The sequence below is a fragment of the Homo sapiens genome, chromosome 17 (assembly GCF_000001405.40).
Source record: "Homo sapiens chromosome 17, GRCh38.p14 Primary Assembly".
NCBI classification, from domain to species: Eukaryota; Metazoa; Chordata; class Mammalia; order Primates; family Hominidae; genus Homo; species Homo sapiens.
In genome coordinates this window covers 35,434,761-35,453,821 of record NC_000017.11, presented here as the reverse complement: position 1 = coordinate 35,453,821, position 19,061 = coordinate 35,434,761, and the positions used below count along the sequence as shown (strand labels likewise).

At 41.9% G+C, this 19,061-nt stretch overlaps 1 protein-coding gene across 13 annotated transcripts, besides 6 other annotated features; it reads left to right on the top strand.

Annotated features, from left to right (window-relative positions):
* Positions 3,741 to 4,240: an enhancer, noted in NCBI's record as "H3K4me1 hESC enhancer chr17:33776601-33777100 (GRCh37/hg19 assembly coordinates)". NCBI's record gives its function as "activates a minimal SCP1, AML or CMV promoter by ChIP-STARR-seq in primed H9 embryonic stem cells {active_cell/tissue: H9 hESC(primed)}" and the evidence as "EXISTENCE:reporter gene assay evidence [ECO:0000049][PMID:30033119]".
* Positions 3,741 to 4,742: a biological region, named in NCBI's record as "H3K4me1 hESC enhancers GRCh37_chr17:33776099-33776600 and GRCh37_chr17:33776601-33777100".
* Positions 4,056 to 18,726, top strand: SLFN13 (schlafen family member 13). Of its 13 annotated transcripts, none has more exons than XM_047435468.1 (7): positions 4,056 to 4,362; positions 4,581 to 4,740; positions 6,408 to 6,554; positions 9,121 to 9,207; positions 9,902 to 10,033; positions 11,536 to 12,259; positions 12,456 to 18,726. In XM_047435468.1, the coding sequence occupies exons 4-7, from the start codon at positions 9,135 to 9,137 to the stop codon at positions 13,225 to 13,227; spliced, it is 1,701 nt and encodes a 566-aa protein (XP_047291424.1). In that variant the 5' UTR covers positions 4,056 to 4,362; positions 4,581 to 4,740; positions 6,408 to 6,554; positions 9,121 to 9,134; the 3' UTR covers positions 13,228 to 18,726. The 13 variants fall into 13 exon arrangements, with proteins under 13 accessions (XP_047291424.1, XP_047291416.1, XP_047291418.1 ...); XM_047435460.1 differs by having other exon boundaries at positions 8,129 to 9,207; XM_047435462.1 differs by having other exon boundaries at positions 7,069 to 9,207.
* Positions 4,141 to 4,350: an enhancer, noted in NCBI's record as "active region_12071". NCBI's record gives its function as "activates an Ori minimal core promoter by ATAC-STARR-seq in GM12878 lymphoblastoid cells {active_cell/tissue: GM12878}" and the evidence as "EXISTENCE:reporter gene assay evidence [ECO:0000049][PMID:35858748]".
* Positions 4,241 to 4,742: an enhancer, noted in NCBI's record as "H3K4me1 hESC enhancer chr17:33776099-33776600 (GRCh37/hg19 assembly coordinates)". NCBI's record gives its function as "activates a minimal SCP1, AML or CMV promoter by ChIP-STARR-seq in naive H9 embryonic stem cells {active_cell/tissue: H9 hESC(naive)}" and the evidence as "EXISTENCE:reporter gene assay evidence [ECO:0000049][PMID:30033119]".
* Positions 4,971 to 5,050: a silencer, noted in NCBI's record as "silent region_8437". NCBI's record gives its function as "represses an Ori minimal core promoter by ATAC-STARR-seq in GM12878 lymphoblastoid cells {active_cell/tissue: GM12878}" and the evidence as "EXISTENCE:reporter gene assay evidence [ECO:0000049][PMID:35858748]".
* Positions 5,621 to 5,780: an enhancer, noted in NCBI's record as "active region_12070". NCBI's record gives its function as "activates an Ori minimal core promoter by ATAC-STARR-seq in GM12878 lymphoblastoid cells {active_cell/tissue: GM12878}" and the evidence as "EXISTENCE:reporter gene assay evidence [ECO:0000049][PMID:35858748]".
* Positions 18,727 to 19,061: the final 335 nt, after the last annotated feature.

Below are 19,061 nucleotides of genomic sequence, written 5' to 3'. Positions count from 1 at the left end.
TATTAACTTACACTATCACAAGGTCCCACAATAGGCTGTCTGCAAGCTGAGGAGCAAGGAGAGCTAGTCCAAGTCTCAAAACTGAAGAACTTGGAGTCCGATGTTCAAGAGCAGGAAGCATCCAGGACAGGAGAAAGATGTAGGCTGGGAGGATAGGCCCATCTCTCATTTTCACGTTTTTCTGCCTGCTTTATATTCATTGAAAGCTGGTTAGAGTGTGCCCACCAGATTAAGAGTGGATCTGCCTTACCCAGCCCACTGACTCAAAAGCAAGTATCTTTTGGCAACACCCTCACAGACACACTCAGGATCAATACTTTGTATCCTTTAATCCAATCAAGTTGACACTCAGTATTAACCATCACAGCTATACATGGCTATTTGTAGCAGTTCTATTCATAATTAACAAACCCAGGAAACAACCTGAATGTCTTCCAATGGGTTAATGGTTAAACAAAAAGTGGTACATCCAAACAATGGAATACCACTCAGCAATCGAAAGGAATGAAAAATTAACAGACACAGCAGGGAAGAAACTCAAAGATATTATGCAAAGAAGCCAATCCCAAATGGTTACATACTATTTGATTACAGTTATACACCATCCTGGAAAAGAGAAAACTAGGGATAGAGAACAAATATGTGCTTTGCAGGGACTGGAATTGGGGGAAATCATTAGTTTGTGTGTGTGTGTTTGTGTGTGTGTGTGTGTGTGGTGGTGGTGGCTCTATTCTGTTTTGTGGTGGTTACATGATTCTAAACATGTGTTAATAGAACTATACATAAAAGGTAAATTTTACTGTACATGAAAAAGTAAATTCTGTATTTATGTAAAGACTAAAAAAGGCATGTGAATGTGAAATGTGAGTTGAGAAAAAGAAGGCATCTCATATAAGATAAAAAAAGAAAGTGAGTAACCTAATTTGCAAAGGCACAATTTCTACTTATGGAATCTGTACTTAAGAAGGGTTCCCACGTAATTGGTCAGGCCTTGGATATATTGGTTATATCACCACTGCCTAGTCATTTTCCAGCTGTCTGTAAGGAAGAGGTTCGTTAACAGCCATAACAGGTGGGAACATCATGGTTTTGCCTTTTTTTTTTGGAAGACAGGGTCTTGCTCTGTTACCCAGGCTGGAGTGCAGTGGTGTGATCTCAGCTCACAGCAACCTCCAGCTCCTGGGTTCAAGTGATTCTCCTGCTTCAGCCTCCCGAGTAGCTGGGACCACAGGCGTACACCACCATGCCTGGCTAATTTTTGTATTTTTGGTAGAGATGGAGCTTCACTATGTTTCCCAGCCTGGTCTCGAACTCCTGGACTCAAGTGATCAGTCCACCTTGACCCCCCCACAAAGTGCTGGGATTATAGGCATGAGCCACTGCACCTGGCCCCTGTATTATCTTAAAAATTTACTGATTTTGTTTTTTTGTATTTATGTTTTTATTTTAGCAGAATAGATTTTGGAGGACAGGATGCAAATTAATATTTTTTTCTCTAGGGATACCAGATATCTCAACACAATTTATAAAATAGTCTCTCCTTTCCCCACTTAACTGCAATGCTACTTCTGTCATAGATTTTTCCATCAATATGTGAGTCCTAGGCTCTGTCATTTATTCCATGCTCTATTTTTTCTAATTATTTTTGCTATATAAGAAAATTTGATGTCTGCTCACAACGTGCTTTTTCTTTTAAAGAGTGTTTCGAGTCTTATATATAAATCTATAATCAGTGTGTAATGTTCTAGGAAAATACTGCTGGGATTTAAAATGGAATCTCAATGGATCTACTCATCAGTTTGGTGAGAATTATTATTATTTTTTTGTTTTTGAGATGGAGTTTCTCTCTTGTTGCCCAGGCTGGAGTGCAATGGCATGATTTTGGCTCACCACAACCTCTGTCTCCCGGGTTCAAGCAATTCTCCTGCCTGTTGGCCAGGCTGGTCTTGAACTCCCGACCTCAGGTGATCCGCCCGCCCCAGCCTCCCAAAGTGGTCTTTAATATGTTGGGTTTTCCAATCCATGGACATGGTATATGATTTAACCTATTTATATATTTATTATTTTCCAATAAGGTTTTATAAACTTTCCCATAAACACCTTTCAGATTTTTAAAAAAATTTTCCCAACACTCACAGTGGCTGCCTTATGCTCCCTCAAAGATCTCTTCCATTTGTTCTCCTAGCCTCAGAGTTGATGGCTCTTTTCCATAGTTACCTCCATAATACTGTGGTGTTACTTTTTTGCCTTTTCCATGATTGAGTTAAAAAGTCTTTATGTCTAGTGAATAGTTCTTCATTTTAAAACATCTCTGTTCAAAATAACTGGTCTTCTGACAGGACCCTGACTAACACAGAAACTGTTCTTTAAGGCGATCCCAGGAAACAGATCCCCAAAGATGGAATTTTAGTACGGTTAGGTTGTGTCTTTAGGTACCAGTTCGTTCATTTAGCATTGTGCTGAAAGTCCTGGCCAATGCATTATACATGAAAAGGAAACAAGAAAAGTATGCAGATTACAAAGGAAGAAATAAAACTCTCATTATGCACATTTGATATTATTGTTTTCTTAGATGACCTAAAAGAACATAGAGATTGATCGTCAAAATTAACTACAAAGTTTAGCAAAGTTGGCAAAAAAAAAAAAAAAAAGCATACAAAGTTAATTGCATGTTTATAAAACAAAAACAGGTAAAAGTAAAGTTTTATAAAAACAGCAAGAAAATAAGAGTCACAAGGAAAACTCCTTTGTTGACTTACAGTCTATATGATTTTGTTCCCTTTTTTTTTAGTGGTAGCTCTAGGGCTTACAATATGCACCTTCAACTTAATACAGTTAAATCATAGTATATGACTTCATGTGTGATATAAGAACCTTAAAACAATACACACTCATTTTCCCCTTCCTTCCTTTGCGTTGCAATTATCACAATTTTCATGTCTTCATTGTTATAAGCACCACAATACATAGTTTTTCTTTAAAGATCAATTATTTTATGAATAATTTTTAACAATGAAAAAGAGAATCTTTTATAGTTACCTACGCGTTTATTATCTTCCATGCTCCTCATTCTTTTGTGTAGATCTGAGTTTCATTCTGGTATCATTTTCCTTCAATATGAAGAACTTTGTTAGGCCGGGCGCAGTGGCTCATGCCTGTAATCCTAGCACTTTGGGAGGTCGAGGCGGGTGGATCACCTGAGGTCAGGAGTTTGAGATCAGCCTGGCCAACATGGTGAATCCCCCGTCTCTACTAAAAATGCAAAAATTAGCAGGGCCTGGTAGCGGGCGCCTGTAATCCTAGCTACTCGGGAGGCTGAGGAAGGAGAATCGCTTGAACCTGGGAGGCGGAGGTTGCAGTGAGCTGAGATCGCGCCATTGCACTCCAGCCTGGGCAACAAGAGCGAGACTCCATCTGAGAAACAAACAAACAAACAAACAAAAAACAAAAAAACACGTTAATAGTTTTTGTAAAGATCTGCTGGTGACAAATTTCCTAAGATTTTTTTTTTTTTTTTGGTCTGAATACGTCGTTATTTTGCCTCCATTTTGGAGGACTTGTTTTGTTTTGTTTTTGGTGGTTATAGAATTCTAGATTGACAGCCTTTTTTTTTTTTCCAGCGCTTTACAGATGTATAGTTCTGGATTCAGTACAGGTTTGCACAATCTATAAACCGCATTTTAAAGAAAAATGAAAAAACTGGAATATGATTATATGAAGATTTACTGAAATGGAAAGGTGGAAGTCATTGAAAAAAGCAGATTAAGAAGAGTACATACAGTGTGACTTTGTATTAATAAAAAAGTATTACATATATGTTTGTGTAATATATATGTATGATCCGTAAAGATATGTACAATAGGGTGTTAATAGTGGTCAGTGGTAATCTCTGGGGCGAAGGGGGGGTGGTATTGGAGTACGTTTTATTTTCTCACTTTAGCCTCCACTGGAGCGTATATTAATCACCCCGGTGTTAACCGCCGCTCCCACCCTTGGGCCAGTCCGCGTCAGTGAGAACTTGGCCGATGCGCGGTGCTTGGTCAACCCCGGTAACCGTCACACTGCTCGTGTTACAAGAAAACCAGCCAGGGTTCTGCTTTTCTGCTCTGCCGCAGCCTTTAACACCTGCCAGGGTTCTGTCCGAGTGTATGGGTTTCGTAGTCCTCCTCTCCAAGGCGTTGACTGAGCACAGAGCACCGGCCGCCGCCACATCCCACTCTGGCGCGGGGTCTGCGGAGCCACAAATCCAGCCAGGAACCGAGTGCCGCCCGATCCGAGCATCCGTCGCATTTTGACCTGGGGTTCCCGGGTCTCAAGGCCCACTTTCTGGGGCAGGCAGTGGGGAGAGAAGCCCAAGCTGGGGTATGGGCAGTTGCAGTGCGGTGGAAGGGGAAAGCTCGGGCGAGAGCTTGGCTGGACCCTCAGAGGAGGGGTCCGGGGAAGGCGGGACCGCAGGCTCCGGGAAAGGAGAGAGAGATAGGGACGGAGGAGGGGCGGAGGGGGAGTAAGAAAGAACTAAGAACCACTCGAAAGCAATCAGAAAACTTGGCGTTTCCAGACATTTTTTTTTTTTTTTGTAGGGGGAACAGGCTCTCACTCTGTCGCCCAAGCTGGAGTGCAGTGGTGCGATCTCGACTCACTTTACCCTGGACTTCCTCGGGCTCAAGTGATCCTCCAGCCTCAGCCTCCCGGGCATCTGAGACTACATTTGAGTCTACAGGCGCGCGCCACTAAGCCTGAGTAATTTTGTTGTTGTTGTTGTTGTTGTTGTTGTTGTACAGACGGGGGTCCCACTGTGCTGTCCAGGCTGGTCTCGAACTTCTTGGCTCAAGCGATGAACCCGCTTAGGCCTCCCAAAGTGCTGGGATTTCATAGGCGCGAGCCTCCCGCCAGGCCTTCTAGACAGCGTGGCAAAGTGTTCCCGGGCTTTGTAGACACTCCCATTGGCGCGTCCATGCCCTGCCTGGGACCCATTGGTTCGTTCATCCCCTGTGTGGGACCTGCCCAGGTAGGCGCCAACCATTGGTTATAAGAACCTGACCTTGGCGCCTCCAGGGAAACGCGGAGTGTCCTGGAGCTTGACGCGCTGGAGCTTGAGAGGTAAGAGAGGGTCCCTGCTCCTACGGGGACTGCGGAGCTCCCGTTTGTACCCACGCCCTAGGGTCTAGTCCGGCACGACCCTGGACTGGCGTTGACTCGGATGGGGAGCAAGCTAGGAGAGCAACCCCCGCCCCCCAGCTCCGGCCAGCCGGTGGAGTCGGGGTATTTGCGTGCTTCTCCCCTGCCTTTGGGGTTCGGCTAGTTTGCTGAGCAAATTCCCTAAAAGGCTATGAGGACTTGATCGCGGCGCGGGTGGAGGCGGGGCGGTGGGGAGGGACGGTGCGGAGAGCTAAAGGGGTTGGAAGGTGTCGCCGGCGGCTTGGCGGGCTATCTGTGTTCCTGTTCCGGCTGCAAAACAGAAAGCCCCTGCCCAGCGAGCAGCGGTTTCCGCGGGGGCGGAACAAACAGGCAGAGCCAAGTGCGTCCTGGAGGCTTCCCCCGTTGCGAAGGTTGGGACTCTTGTTTCAGGGTTCTTGGCATTGACTCACTAACCACTGTAAATTATTGTTCTTAATCTAAGAGTTAAAAAGCAGAATTAGGCCGGGTGTGGTGGCTCATGCCTGTAGCTTCAGCACTTTGAAAGGCCAAGTGGGAGGATTACTTGAGCCCAGGATTTCGAGACCAGCCTGGGCAATGTAGGGAGACCCTATCGCTATGAATAATAATAATAATAATAATATAATACTAATATTAATAAATTAACCGGGCCTGGTGGCGCGCACCTGTGGTTCCAGCTTCTCCGGAGGCTGAGGCAAAAATCGCCTGAGCCTGTGATGGCGCCACTGCCCTCCAGCCTGGACAACACAGGAAGACATTGTATCAAAACAAAAACAAAACAAAACAAAACAAAACAACAAAACAGAATTAGAATTGCCATTACCCTGTACCCATTATCCTGATTACCCTGCAATCTAGAAAGGGGAGAAATGAGAAAAATGTCTCCCTCCCAACGTCTGTAAAATACAGAGCTGCTATCTGAGAAGGACAAAGAGCTCTGTGTTTTATTTTCCCAAGAGGGAGCCTCTGTCGCAGCTGTTTCCTTCTGTTTCTGCCTGAGACTAGCCAGTCCCCACCAGTTTTCCTCAGTGGGGTGGGGGGCTTGGGAGTGGATGGGAGGATTTGTGTTGTTCTGATTTTACCTACAGTATACCTGTGTAGGAGGCGAAACTGTTTCCATCAATTTCCACAGAGAAGCAAGGGCAAGAATTATCTCTAATTATTCCCATGCATGTGTAGGGGGGGTTCAAAGAAGTCTGAATCTTGACCCCTGAACTCTACTGCCTCTCTCTACATGTTTCTGCATACAGGTCTTTCAGGACTGATTTTGGTGGAAGAAGACAGCAGGCGGTGGGCATTCACTGTGCTGGTGGGAAGTCTGGTTACATTAAGAAAGGAATTCTAGCAAAGTTATTCTGTAAATACAACAGAATCAGTTGCTTTTGTTAAATATATTGGTAAGCTTCCTGATTTTTTTCACCTGAATTCTCAATTTGTTATTGAATAGTTCAGTTTTATTTAGGGTTTCAATTTTATTTAGGAAACAATATCTCTACCTTACAAAGAATCTGCAAGTAGCACTGACTATAATACCTTTATACCCAAAGGAAGAGCTGGGATAGAGCTCCCTAAGACTTTTCTGCCTGCAAAAGATATGGGTGGGGTTGCCATTTGAATACAGTTACCAATGAAAAACTATCAGCTTATCTAGGCTTTAACAATAAAGTTCATGGGGGTAAAGAGAAAAGATTTAACTTTGAAGTCCCCATATATCAAAAAGAATATTTTACAGGTAACTTGACAAAGATGTTTCAGTGGTCTCGGAATGCAAGACAGAATCCTGACGGTAGAAATTTCTAGGCAAGGGTCTAAATTAGGCAAACTGGTAAGATTGTGAATGTCCCAGCCTTTATTTCTGAATCTTGACCTCTGAACTCTGCTGCCTCTCTCTAAACATGTTTCTGCCTACAGGTACTTCAGGACTGATTTTGGTGTAAGAAGACAGCAGGTGTACACTTGATGATGCTACTTCCTTACCTCTCATTCATTCCTCAACCCATTGTAAAATAATGTCAATTAATATAGGTTCCTTTGCTGAACACCTGTGAACCAAAGCATAGTTTTAAATGCTTGTTGTAAACTATCTGAGTTAATCTTCATAATAACAGTCACAGGTGGCTGCACCATGTTTTATAGTAAGAAAATAGAGTTAGAAAGAGTAAATATCTAGACTAATATAACAGTACTAAATGGCAGAACTGGAATTCAAGCCATCTTCATTGACTCTGTTCTCCAAGACCTTAGCCCCTGGTTTATTGCCTCCTGATGCCCATTTCCCAGGTGTCTGAAGAGCATTTTTCAAAGTCACAGTTAACCTTAATTTTACTAAACTTAGGTTTAGTAACACTTTCCAGTCATTACCTAGCTGTATCTGTCAGCAGTATTAGACATCTTAAAACCTTGGCAGGTGACTTTGTTCCAGGCTTTGTTAATACCAAATACCCTTGATTTTTCTCTTACTTCTTTGATTTTTCATACTCAGACTTTTCTACAGTCTCCTTTTCAATGTGGTCTTCTTTTACTTATCTTCTAAAGTTGATGTTCATGGAGAATCTGTTCCAAACCTAGATGTTCTCATGCCATGGTACACATGCCCCTCAGCTGATCCACTACTTCTGTGTTTCAATGCTAATGATTTCACCTGGCCAGTTCTAGTGCATCTTTTAAGTCTTGGCCTAAATGGAACCTACTCCTGGAAGTCTTATGGAACCATGGTCTCCAGATTCGTTCAGATACCCTATTCAATGTGTTTTCCCTCTTAGAGCCCATGTCACAGATGATGGTAAAGGCTAATTTCATTAGTTCCCTTCCCTGCCAGCCAGTCAGCTCCTAAAGAGACTATACCTGTCTTTCTTGCTATTGTCTTATCCCAGCACATATTAGACACGTTTTAAATATTTTCTAATAAATGAATTGCAGGCCTGTAACAATTTTTTAATCAAAAATGAAACAAATATTCTAATACTTTAAGGTGCAAGTTCAACATGGAGGCAAATCACTGCTCCCTGGGTGTGTATCCATCTTACCCAGACCTGGTCATCGATGTCGGAGAAGTGACTCTGGGAGAAGAAAACAGAAAAAAGCTACAGAAAACTCAGAGAGACCAAGAGAGGGCGAGAGTTATACGGGCCGCGTGTGCTTTATTAAACTCAGGAGGAGGAGTGATTCAGATGGAAATGGCCAACAGGGATGAGCGTCCCACAGAGATGGGACTGGATTTAGAAGAATCCTTGAGAAAGCTTATTCAGTATCCATATTTGCAGGCTTTCTTTGAGACTAAGCAACACGGAAGGTGTTTTTATATTTTTGTTAAATCTTGGAGTGGTGATCCTTTCCTTAAAGATGGTTCTTTCAATTCCCGCATTTGCAGCCTTAGTTCTTCATTATACTGTAGATCTGGCACCTCTGTGCTTCACATGAATTCAAGACAGGCATTCGATTTCCTGAAGACCAAGGAAAGACAGTCCAAATATAATCTGATTAATGAAGGGTCTCCACCTAGTAAAATTATGAAAGCTGTATACCAGAACATATCTGAGTCAAATCCTGCATATGAAGTTTTCCAAACTGACACTATTGAATATGGTGAAATCCTATCTTTTCCTGAGTCTCCATCCATAGAGTTTAAACAGTTCTCTACAAAACATATCCAACAATATGTAGAAAATATAATTCCAGAGTACATCTCTGCATTTGCAAACACTGAGGGAGGCTATCTTTTTATTGGAGTGGATGATAAGAGTAGGAAAGTCCTGGGATGTGCCAAAGAACAGGTTGACCCTGACTCTTTGAAAAATGTAATTGCAAGAGCAATTTCTAAGTTGCCCATTGTTCATTTTTGCTCTTCAAAACCTCGGGTAGAGTACAGCACCAAAATCGTAGAAGTGTTTTGTGGGAAAGAGTTGTATGGCTATCTCTGTGTGATTAAAGTGAAGGCATTCTGTTGTGTGGTGTTCTCGGAAGCTCCCAAGTCATGGATGGTGAGGGAGAAGTACATCCGCCCCTTGACAACTGAGGAATGGGTAGAGAAAATGATGGACGCAGATCCAGGTAAGAGGGAACCAGATTCTCCCTTCCTGACCTTTCTACCTCTTCCCCAATACCACTTCCTTCTTTATTCTCTAAGCTTGACCTTCTCACACCCACTGAAATTTACTTTCTCTAAATCTCCATGCTTTTCATAGATGGGAAGTTTTATTGGGTGAGAAAAAGCCAAAATGAGATATTTTGTGAATGGTGATTTCCCACAAAAGAAGAAGCAAAGGAAAAACCTTGGAAATTGGTTCCTTTAATAAAACCATTGAATTGGAATCTGTTGGAGCCTCATAATAGTGATTAGCTTGTACCTCAGATTAGCATAAAATCAACTCTGGGAGACAAGAGCTAGTGTTGGTTGAGGTTTGTTTAAGTTGAGGTTAGTGGAGGTGCGTGCACAGGGATATAAAAACCTGATGATTATAACTTAAAGAGAGTTTTTTTCCACTGCAATTCAAGCAAAGAACTATTCAAACATGGAAGAGGGGGCATTATATTGCATGGGGAAACACCATTCAAGGATCAGAAAAAGGGCTTTTAATGATGAATCTTTGGGAACCTGGACATAGAGTCAAGAAAGGGTAAAGCATCTGACTTTGTGGCCTGACTTGTACCATGTTAGATGAAATTTAGACACAGCCTTGTACAGCCTATTCCAATAGCGAGACATGAAATCATATAGTGTAAATTAAAATGTTCTTTCTTTCAGAGTTTCCTCCAGACTTTGCTGAGGCCTTTGAGTCTCAGTTGAGTCTATCTGACAGTCCTTCACTTTGCAGACCAGTGTATTCTAAGAAAGGTCTGGAACACAAAGCTGATCTACAACAACATTTATTTCCAGGTACTGACTGCCAGTTTTTACATCAGGAGAGAAGGAAGTCATTTAATACATTTCGTGGAAAACAAATCCATGAAAGATTGTGTCCTGCAGATCCAGGTGTACACAGTGACAATGCCACAAGCCTCTTGGGGATGAGTTTCAGGTGCCTTTAGAAATCATCTGGCCCATTGGTTGCCACATCTGGCTGATTATTAGAAATGCCATGGAAGGTAGTTAAACATGCAGATCTCCAGGCCCACACCAAGAACTTATGAACGCTTAATTTCCAGGGGAAAGGCCTAGCCATATGCATTTGGGCAAGCTTCCCAAATTATTCTGATGCCCTGCTGGGTTTGGAAACCAGTGATCTAGTACAACTACAAGGGGAACAATGGAATAACTAGCCACTTCTGGTCTACTTTTCAAGGATGGAGGAATTATGTCTGTAAAAGGAATAAAAACATTCACCTGGTAGAATATAAGAATATAGAAAAACCACAAATAATTTCTCTTTGGAAGAGGCTAGAGGGAACGACTCGCTAATGCTTCAAAGGTGGCACCAAATAATAATTCAAGCCCATAGACAATGTTATGTAACCCCTCTCCCTGCTGCCCAAACATTTTTTAGCAAGGTTTTTTTCTCGGAGTTCCTACTTACAAAATGAAACCTAGATTTTTCAAGGAGGGAAATGGCTTAACTTCATACATTGAACATATTAAGTATGAGATTTGACAAAAGAATATGATACACAAATATCCTACGTATGTCCAAACATTTATGAAGGGCAAGGTAATTCATATATTAGGCCTTCCTTAGGTCTGTTTACCACCAAATAGTTTCTTTACTTACCTGAGAGCTTTATAGTCATTAGCTTATCAGAAAAGTTTTTAAACATTCCACATTAAGAATCCAAGGTGCAAGAGTAATTGAATACATGGCTTTCACTTTCTCAGGCTCAGTAAATTGCATTTCAGTTGACATGCTCCACTGTCCATGAGATACATAGAAGGGTGACATCATTCATTTTACCAGATTTGTAGGTTGTGGGTTAAAGAGATATGCACCAGGCAAGGCGTGGTGGCTCATGCCTGTAATCCCAGCACTTTGGGAGGCCGAGGCGGGCAGATCATGAGGTCAGGAGATCGAGACCATCCTGGCCAACATGGGGAAACCCTGTCTCTACTAAAAATACAAAAAAATAGCCGGGCGTGGTGGCAGGAGCCTGTAGTCCCAGCTACTTGGGAGGCTGAGGCAGGAGAATGGCCTGAACCTGGGAGGCAGAGCTTGCAGTGAGCCAAGATCGGGCCACTGCACTCCAGCCTGGGCGACAGAGCGAGACTCCGTCTCAAAAACAGACAGACAGACAAACAAACAAACAAAAAACCAGAGATGCACCAGAAGGAATTTCTGTTAAATTGTACAATTCTTTGGGGGCTTTCCTCTGTCTTTTAAATGTAACATGTGATTCATACAAAATCACATAAACACAGTGAAAACATCTTTCTATTTTCTTCCTGTCTAGTTCCACCAGGACATTTGGAATGTACTCCAGAGTCCCTCTGGAAGGAGCTGTCTTTACAGCATGAAGGACTAAAGGAGTTAATACACAAGCAAATGCGACCTTTCTCCCAGGGAATTGTGATCCTCTCTAGAAGCTGGGCTGTGGACCTGAACTTGCAGGAGAAGCCAGGAGTCATCTGTGATGCTCTGCTGATAGCACAGAACAGCACCCCCATTCTCTACACCATTCTCAGGGAGCAGGATGCAGAGGGCCAGGACTACTGCACTCGCACCGCCTTTACTTTGAAGCAGAAGCTAGTGAACATGGGGGGCTACACCGGGAAGGTGTGTGTCAGGGCCAAGGTCCTCTGCCTGAGTCCTGAGAGCAGCGCAGAGGCCTTGGAGGCTGCAGTGTCTCCGATGGATTACCCTGCGTCCTATAGCCTTGCAGGCACCCAGCACATGGAAGCCCTGCTGCAGTCCCTCGTGATTGTCTTACTCGGCTTCAGGTCTCTCTTGAGTGACCAGCTCGGCTGTGAGGTTTTAAATCTGCTCACAGCCCAGCAGTATGAGATATTCTCCAGAAGCCTCCGCAAGAACAGAGAGTTGTTTGTCCACGGCTTACCTGGCTCAGGGAAGACCATCATGGCCATGAAGATCATGGAGAAGATCAGGAATGTGTTTCACTGTGAGGCACACAGAATTCTCTACGTTTGTGAAAACCAGCCTCTGAGGAACTTTATCAGGTAAGCAGTTGGATCTTACGTCTTTAAGTTTTATTTAATCTGGGTTTAATTTTTTCTGCTAAGTCACCTTCTTCCTTGAGAATTGAGTGGTAAAATGATCTGTGGCAATATACTGTGCTCGGAGGAACATGATACAATCATTTTCTCCCCTTGTTTTCTTAGAGAAAACCTGAGTGTATTCTTTTAATTTTTACAGTGATAGAAATATCTGCCGAGCAGAGACCCGGGAAACTTTCCTAAGAGAAAAATTTGAACACATTCAACACATCGTCATTGACGAAGCTCAGAATTTCCGTACTGAAGATGGGGACTGGTATAGGAAGGCAAAAACCATCACTCAGAGAGAAAAGGATTGTCCAGGAGTTCTCTGGATCTTTCTGGACTACTTTCAGACCAGTCACTTGGGTCACAGTGGCCTTCCCCCTCTCTCAGCACAGTATCCAAGAGAAGAGCTCACCAGAGTAGTTCGCAATGCAGATGAAATAGCCGAGTACATACAACAAGAAATGCAACTAATTATAGAAAATCCTCCAATTAATATCCCCCATGGGTATCTGGCAATTCTCAGTGAAGCTAAATGGGTTCCAGGTGTTCCAGGCAACACAAAGATTATTAAAAACTTTACTTTGGAGCAAATAGTGACCTATGTGGCAGACACCTGCAGGTGCTTCTTTGAAAGGGGCTATTCTCCAAAGGATGTTGCTGTGCTTGTCAGCACCGTGACAGAAGTGGAGCAGTATCAGTCTAAGCTCTTGAAAGCAATGAGGAAGAAAATGGTGGTGCAGCTCAGTGATGCATGTGATATGTTGGGTGTGCACATTGTGTTGGACAGTGTCCGGCGATTCTCAGGCCTGGAAAGGAGCATAGTGTTTGGGATCCATCCAAGGACAGCTGACCCAGCTATCTTACCCAATATTCTGATCTGTCTGGCTTCCAGGGCAAAACAGCACCTATATATTTTTCTGTGAAGTGACTATTAGGAAGAACTCCAAACCAAAATACTGTGTAAATGTCTATGGGTGACAGTCTGCTGATGGTAGAAACCTTTCTTTTTAGTTCACAAGTCAGTTAGAGATTTGGACAGAGCTGACACAAAGAGTTTGGAGCTCCCCCATTTCTGGCTCTCCTTTCAGGGGTTCCTCCCCCAACTCTTTTCAGCAGTGGTGGCTGCCCCCCATTCTGACCCCTGACTCTTGCAGCCAGAAAGATGGTGGTTTTCTAAAGGAACTTTAGCTGTGCTGCACAATGCAGACCTGTGTCTTGCTCTCTGGGTAAAAGCCATAAAAATAAGAAACTCAGCCTGTGGCCTTTCTTCCAAGGCTGGAGTTCTCGAGTTCTTTTATGTGACTTCGTGTAGTTTGTTGCTTTAAAAAATTTGTCCAGAATTGTTTTCTGCAGAAGCATGGTCTGTTAGGAGCTTACAGGCCATAGGAGAAGCAGTTGTTTCCTGAATTTATCTTTGCTGTATTCATTTAGGGCTTGGGAGAGTCCCAAGATAATTCAGTCACTGTCAGATTAATCATTTCGGCAGAACAAACAATATTGTTATGATTATTTAATCCTTAAAATTGTGATCTCCAGAGTTTGTTATCAGAATAACCCAGACCAAGGCTTAATTGTAATAGTGAACATTAATGGTACCTTTACAGAGAAATTATAGGCCAAGAGAAAATGCTGGCTTTCAGTAGAAGTTAATATTAGAAACCCAAATCTGGTTCTGAAAGTGTGTATCAGATGTACGGTGAACAAACTTGGGAAAGATTTTCTTTAAAAATCAATGAGCGTTGGCCAGGCACGGTGGCTCACACCTGTAATCCCAGCTGTTTGGGAGGCTGAGGCAGGTGGATCACCTGAGGTCAGGAGTTCAAGACCAGCCTGGCCAACATGGAGAAACCCCATCTCTACTAAAAATACAAAAATTAGCAGGGCATGGTGGTGCATGCCTGTATCCCAGCTACTTGGGAGGCTGAAGCATGAGAATCACTTGAATCCTGGAGGCAGAGGTTGCAGTGAGCTGAGATCATGTCACTGTACTCCAGCCTGGGCAACAGAGTGAGACTGTCTCAAAAAGAAGAAGAAGAAAAAAAATGCAGTGAGTTTATGTTGTTACATTGTAACATCTCAGCGTAGCTGTATGCATTACTCTATAGCATAACTACTTAAGTTTTATGTCATTCTTGAACTGTGATTTTTTTTTCTATTTGCTTTCATAGTTTGGTGGGCCATTGTTATGGACTGAATGTTTGTGTCCCATCCTCACCCCTAAATTCCCATGTTGAAGCCCCAACCTTCACTGTGGAGCTGGGGCTGCTAAGGAAGTAATTAAGGTTACACGAAGTCACAGTGGAGAATCTGATCTGCTAAGACTGGTGTCCTTATAGGGAGAGACCCCAGAGAGCTTGTTCCCTTCCTCCCTGTGCACACAAACAAGAGGGCATGGGAGCACACAGAGAGATGGCAGCCACCTACAAGCCAAGAGGAGAAGCCTCACAATGAACCCCCCCCCCCACCCTGCTGGCACCTATGTCTTCGACTTCCAGCCCCCAGACTGTGAGAAATAAATTTCTGTTGGTTCAGCCATCCAGTCTCTAGTGTTTTGTTATTGCAGCCTGAGAACACAGCTGTATGATCATTCATCAAACTAAAAACACTGATACTTAACAATGCTAATGCAATTACTTATTTGCTTTTCAGTCTCTACAAAACATTCTAAAACACTAATCTAAATACTAACAATAAAATATTTGCATAACTAATGAAAATTAAGAAACCACATGCCCAATATTCCATTTATAAGTAATCCTATTTGGCTGATTTCCCTCCATATTGTAAGTTTTGAACTTTTCTGCCAGTCTTTCTCCTATTTGTGTTAACTCATGGAATTCCAGTTGTCTAGCCTTGAAATTGTAGGCTCTTCTAACTTGAGCAAAATCTGACAGATCAGCAAAATAAGGAGAAAAATATTTCTTCTTTCTTTCTGGCTGCATTAAATGAGATACAGCTCAGCACCAAAAAGCTATCTTTGTAAATGTTCTTAGTAAACTCCCTGGTCTTTGGAGTTATTTCAGCCTTTGAGAGTAATTCTTTAAAAGTCTAATTCTGACTGGTTGAATCTCTCTATATGATTTATTGCCCTAGTAATATTTGAAACAGTATCATATTTTAAAATATATAAATATTTATGAATTTTTGTTCAGCCCAAAGAGGATTACTGATGCTTTCTTCTTTTTCCATATGATGAGGAAATGTTTAGCTTATATATTTATTGCATTTCTGTTTTAAATAAAAAATTGAGAGTTTGTGTTTCATTAAACTGAAAAAAAAGGTTCTGTAAAATAAATGATTAAATGGAGGAAAAGGAGAAGACTGAGGCCAGCAACTCCATGATACAGCCAAAAATGAGCCAGTAAAAGATTAAGCAAGATTAACTGTAAATTTTTTTTTTTTTTTTTTTTAAAGAGAAAAGGTCTCACTGTGTTTCCCAGGCTGGAGGGTAGTGGTGTGATCATAGTTCACTAGAGCCCTGAACTCCTGGGCTCAAGTGATCCTCTTGCCTTAGCCTCCCATTGCTGGGATTATAGGCATGAGCCACTGTGTCAGGCTTAATTGGGTTTTGATGGGTACCTGCCTATCTCTGTAATTTGGCTCTAGTCATATAGGACCTGCTTCATTAAAGATCTGAAAATCTATCCAGCCATTGTAAAATGAAACAAAATGTTTTGAAAATTTAAATTAGCCTTTTATTTTAGTTCAGACATATAGAAAAGTTGCAAGCATAGTACAGAAAGTTCCTATATACCCCACTTAGTGCCCTCCTTTTTAAAATTTTTTTAAACCTAGCTTATTTCCTTTAAGATTTCTGAGAATTCCAGGAATGCTCACAGATCTGTCCTTGTAGTCTCCTGCCACTTCTTGCTATGGAGTGCTGTACCAAGGTCTCTGCTAGTTTCTAGTTGGCTTGACATAATGACTTTCCTAAACTTCTTCTGCTCTGAATCTCAAGCATGGAAAGCGGTCACATCTTTTGTTTCACGAATTAACAGTCAACACCTGGCCCTACTTTTAACAAAACTTAGTAAAGCCTTGAGCATAGTGAAAGACAAATATTTAAATTATATATTAGCAGGAGGCTGAGGTGGGAGGATCATATGAGGCCAGCCTGGGCAGCATAGCATGACCCCCCCCTCGAGAAGACAACAAAAAATTATCTGGGTGTGGTGGTGTGCTCCTGCAGTCCTAGCTATTCCAGAGGCCGAGGCGAGAGGATCGCTTGATTCCAGGAGTTCAAGGCTGTAGTTAGCGATAATCGTGTCACTGAATCCTAGCCTGGGCAACAGAATAAGACCCCATGTCTAACAAAATAATAATAAAACAATCAAAAGTTTAAAATTAGTTATTAAATGTCAGTGTGCCCAGAGTCCTTTGACCACAGATGATCCTGATGGCCTTCTCTCGCCTTGTCCCTGTGCCTCCTTCTACCATTTTTCTTCCTGAGATTCAAAAGTAAGTAGCGGACAGGGTTCCCATTTACCACTAAATACTTCAGTGGGTGTTTCCTAAAAGGACATTTATAGTACCATCATCAAAATCAGTAAATTAACCCTGATACTATTATCTAATCTGTAGACTTTATTGAATTATATCAGTTGTGCCTCAAGTGTCTTTATGTTTTTTTCTCAAAAGAGAAAAAGTTCTGGTCCAGGATTTGATCTAAGATCATGCATTGTATTGAGCTTTCCTTTCTTTTAAGTCTCATTTAATCTGGAGATGTTAATCTGTCTTTGTCATATCTTTGACACTATTGAAGAGGACTGGCCTATTATTTTGCAGAGTATCTGATTTTGGGTCATTTCATGTGTTCTCATGATTAGATTCAGGTTATGCATTTTTGGCATGAATTCCATAGAAGGGCTGTTACGGTTCTCAGTTCACGGTATTAGAAGGCACTTGATAGTGATTAGTTCCATTCCTGATGATGTTAACTCTGATCATTTGGATAAAGTGGCGTCTGCCAGGTTTCCCTACTGTGCAGTTACAATTTGCTTTTTGTAATTAATAAAGTGTGTGTGTGTGTGTGTGTGGAGGGGGGGTGTTTTTGCTTCTGAACGCATAATATTTGAGATTTTTTTCTAATTAAAAAGTAATTATTCAAAGAGTTCAGAGAACTGATACTGATCACATTCTTTGACCCCACATGCAAATACATTATAAACTAGTAATAAAACGGTAACTAGAAAAATGTTCATATCTTTTGGAATTAAAAAAGTGTTTAACTCGTGGATCAAAGCAGAAATTCTGTAACCATTGTCACAGCAGGTTCTAACAAGCAAGTTTAAGGAGGAGAGAATTTCAGTCCTAGAGAATTTCAGTCTTATTCAAATGCTTTCCTAGAAAGAGGAAACAGTTCCTAACTAATTTCATGAGGCTGGCATAATCTTGATAACAAGTCTGATAGGTAAAGTATGAAAGGAAAATTGCAGGTCACTCAATTATCACTCAAATATCTACATGAAAAATTCTAAACAAAATTTTAGCAAACAAAATCCAACAATTTGTAAAAGTGATAATACACCACGACCAAGGTGGTTCAAGTCAGGAATTCAACGTTGATTTTGGCGTTAAAAAATCAATCATCAGGCCCAGTGAGGTGGCTCACTCCTGTAATCCCAGACTTTCTGGAGGCTGAAGGAGGAAAGATCCTTCAGGCCAGAAGTTTGAGTCTGCACTGAGCTGTGACTGCATCACCGCACTCTAGCCTGGGTGCCAGTTTGAGACCCTGTCTCCAAGAAAAAAAAATTAATCAGTGTAATTCACCACAGATTAAGAGTTCAAAAGAGAAAAATCACATGATCATCTGAATAGAGGAAAAAGCTTTTGATAAAGTTCAACATCCATTCATAATAAGGACTCTCAGCAACTTAGAAGTATAAAAACACTTTTGGAAATCAACAAAGGGAATTTACAGCATGAACAAACAGCAAGCCAGCATGGTGGCTCACACCTGTAATCTCAGCACTTCCAGAGGCCAAGGCAGGAGAATCACTTGAGCCCAGGGGTTAGAGACAAGCCTTGGCAACATAGCAAGATCCTGGCTCTACAAAAAATAAAATAAAATGAAATAAAATTTAAAAATTAGCTGGGTTTGGTGGTGTGTGCCTGTAGTCCCAGCTACTGGGAGGCTGAGGTGAGAGGATCACTGGAGCCCAGGAGGTGAAGGCTGCAGTGGGCTAAAAACAACCAGAACAACCCCCCAACCCCCTCCCCGCAAAACACTATAAAGAATAGCAACACAAGGTTCAATGTAAACTTTGATATGGTGTTTTACCTCTGAGGAGAGGCTTATTGTTAATATTCTTTAGCCGTGTAAGGGGTTCACAGATGTTCATACTTTTGTTCTTTATACCTTATATGTATTCTATAAATATTGTTTCTACTCAATAGTTAATAAAAACATAATTTAAAAGTTCTGTGAATGTTTTTACTCTGCTCACTTTTGAGGGGCCTTTTGGGATATGCATTTTCTATTCCAAGTTGATCTGATATGTCATGCCTGCCACACACATTCCCATGGGAACAACTTCTTAATGTCTTTTGTTTCTGCCTTGGAAGCCATCCTGGTGCTCTGGGAAAATCCCTGCACTAGCATTTTCTTTTTCTTTTCTTTTCTTTTTTTTCTTTTTCTTTTTTTGAGATAGAATCCCTTGCTCTGTCTTTCAGGATGGAGTGCAGCCGTGTGATCTTGGCTCACTGCAACCTCTGCCTCCATCCAAGCGATTCTCATGCCTCAGCGCCCCCACACCCT